At 42.4% G+C, this 2529-nt stretch overlaps 1 annotated feature.

The window, feature by feature from the left end:
• Positions 325-1524: an enhancer, noted in NCBI's record as "MED14-independent group 3 enhancer chr14:38951414-38952613 (GRCh37/hg19 assembly coordinates)". NCBI's record gives its function as "activates an origin of replication core promoter dependent on BRD2, BRD4, P300/CBP and CDK7 cofactors, and independent of MED14, by STARR-seq in HCT116 cells {active_cell/tissue: HCT116}" and the evidence as "EXISTENCE:reporter gene assay evidence [ECO:0000049][PMID:35650434]".

The following is a 2529-nucleotide window of genomic DNA, read 5'->3' as shown; positions in this document are numbered from 1 at the left end:
ACCCAATCACTCTCCCCACCTCCTCTTTAAGGCCAATAACTCTTACATTTGCCCCTTGGAAGCTATATTCTAGATCTTATTGGCATGCTTCATTATTTTTTATTCTTTTTTCTTTTGACTCCTTTGACTGTGTGTTTTCAAATAGCCTATCTTCAAGCACACTAATCCTTGCTTCTGCTTGGTCATTACTGATTTTTGACGGACTTTGACACATTCTTCAGTTTGGCAATTAAAATTTTCAGCTCTAACATTTCTGCTTAATTCTCTTTAATTATTTCAATTCTTTGTTGAATTTATCGATATAATTCTGAATTCTTTCTCTGTATTATCTTGAATTTCATTGAGTTTCCTCAAAACAGCTATGTTGAATTCTGTGTCTGAAAGGTAACATAGCTCTGTCACTCTGGAATTGGTCACTGGTGCCTTATTTAGTTCATTTGGTGAGGTTATGTTTTCCTAGATAGTCTTCATGCTTGTGGGTGTTCATTGATATCTGGGCGTTGAAGAGTTAGGTATTTATCCAATCTTCACAGTCTGGGTTTGTTTGTACCTGTCCTTCTTCAGATGGCTTTGCAAGTATTCAAAGGGAATTCAGTGTTGTGGTCTAAATATTTGGTCACTGCAGCTGTATCTGCATTAGGGGGCATCTCAAGCCCAGTAATGCTTTGACTCTTTCAGACTTGTAGAGGTGTCACCTTGGTGGTCTTGGGTAAGTTCTGGGAGAATTCTCTGGCTTACAAAGCAAAGACTCTTTTTTTTCCCCCTTACTTTCACCCAAAGTAAAGATCTGTTCCTTTCCATGCTAAGCTGCCTGAAGTTGGTGAGGGACGACACAAGCATTCCTGTGTCTATCACTGCTGGGACTGTGCTAAGTCATACCTAAAGCTAACCCTGTAGTGGGTCTTGCCCAAGGCCTGTGGCAATGATTTTCTCACTACTGCTGGTATTTATTGAAGGCTGTTTGGTCAGCAGTTGATGAATCCTGCCAGGGGGGTTCTTTCTCTTCAGTGTGGCAGGTACCCTTCTGGCTCAGAATAGGTCTAGAAATGCTTTTTAGGAGTTAGGGCCTAGGATTAGGGGCTTTAGGACTCTGATTGGTGCTTTATTTTACTGGGACTGAGCTGGTACCCAGGTTGCAAGACAAAAGTTCTCTTTACCTTTACCTTTACTTTCCTCAAGCAGAAGGAATTTCTCCCCATGGCCACCACAGCTGGGAATATGTTGGGTCACACTGAGTCAGCACAATATTGGGTGTTGCCCAAGGCCCATGGTAACTGTTGCCTGGCTACTGCTCATGTTTATTCGAGGCTCAAGGGCTCTTCAGTCAAAAAGTAGTATATTATTCTAGCACCAGGTCCTTCACTTTATGGCAATGGGTTCTCTTCTGGCCTAGTCTGGAAATGTCCAGGAGCTATGCCCTTGAATAGGGGCTTTAGGATTCTGCTTGGTGCTTTAGTTTACTGTGACTGAGCTGGTATCCAAGTTGCAAGACAGGGCTATCTTTACTCTTTCCTCTCCTCTTGGAGCTGTGAGCTGCACTGCCTGGAGTCGGGGAGGGTGACCATCCCAGCTGGTGTCTCACTGGGTTGCATGTGCCCCAAGTCCATTGGCTCCAAGCCCAGCACAGCATCAGGACTTGCCCAGGAATTGCAGTCCTTGTGACCTTGACTACTGCTCAAGTTTATTTAGAACCTCAGAGCCCTTTAGTCCATGGTCAAAAGGCCTGCTGGAAGTAGGTTCTGACTGCTGGAATGTATGATTTCCCTCTGGCTAAGGCTAGTCTAAATGCTCCCTTAATGGGCACCTGCCAAATTTTGCCCCATATTGCTTTCCACTGTGACAGAGCCACACTGAGTTCCAATGCAAAATCCCATAATCATTTTGCTGTGCCTCCAACCCCGAGCATACAGATTCTCTCTCCATACGATGTTGCCACCCCCAGGGTATGGGGGTAGGGTGGTATAGGCAATTCAAGGCTGCCTTTCTTACCCTGTTTAGTGCCTCTTTTCTTGATACAATATTAAAACCAGGCACTGTGATTGTTCACCTGATTTTTGGTTCTTATGAAGGTGCTTTCTTGTGTGAATTTGTTCAGTTCCTGGAGGGGAAGGTTGGGGTCAGTTGCTAGAGGCTCCTCTTCAGCCATCTTGCTCTGCCTCCCCCTCAGAAAATAAATTTTTAATGAAAAAGTTACCTACTAAGAAAACTGTAGACCAGATGCCTTCACTCATAAATTCTAGTCTACTGAACATTTAAGGAAGAAATAATAGAACTTTCTCATAAATTTTTGCAAAAAGTTGCAGAAGAGGGAACAGATACCAAGTAATTTTATGAGGCCAGTATTCGTATGATACCAAAGCAGAAATAGATACAATAGATGTTAAAGGGAAAAAAAACCTACAGACAAGTAACCCTCATGAACATGTACACAGAAATTTTTAATAAAATATTTTAGAATTGTATCCAGCAATACATAAAGAGGACAGTATGTCATCACTAAGTCAGGTTTATTTATAGAATGAAAGATTT

This window comes from Homo sapiens, chromosome 14 (genome assembly GCF_000001405.40).
Source record: "Homo sapiens chromosome 14, GRCh38.p14 Primary Assembly".
NCBI lineage: Eukaryota > Metazoa > Chordata > Mammalia > Primates > Hominidae > Homo > Homo sapiens.
The sequence above is the reverse complement of the archived record's forward strand: the minus strand, read 5'-3'. Positions and strand labels throughout refer to the sequence as shown.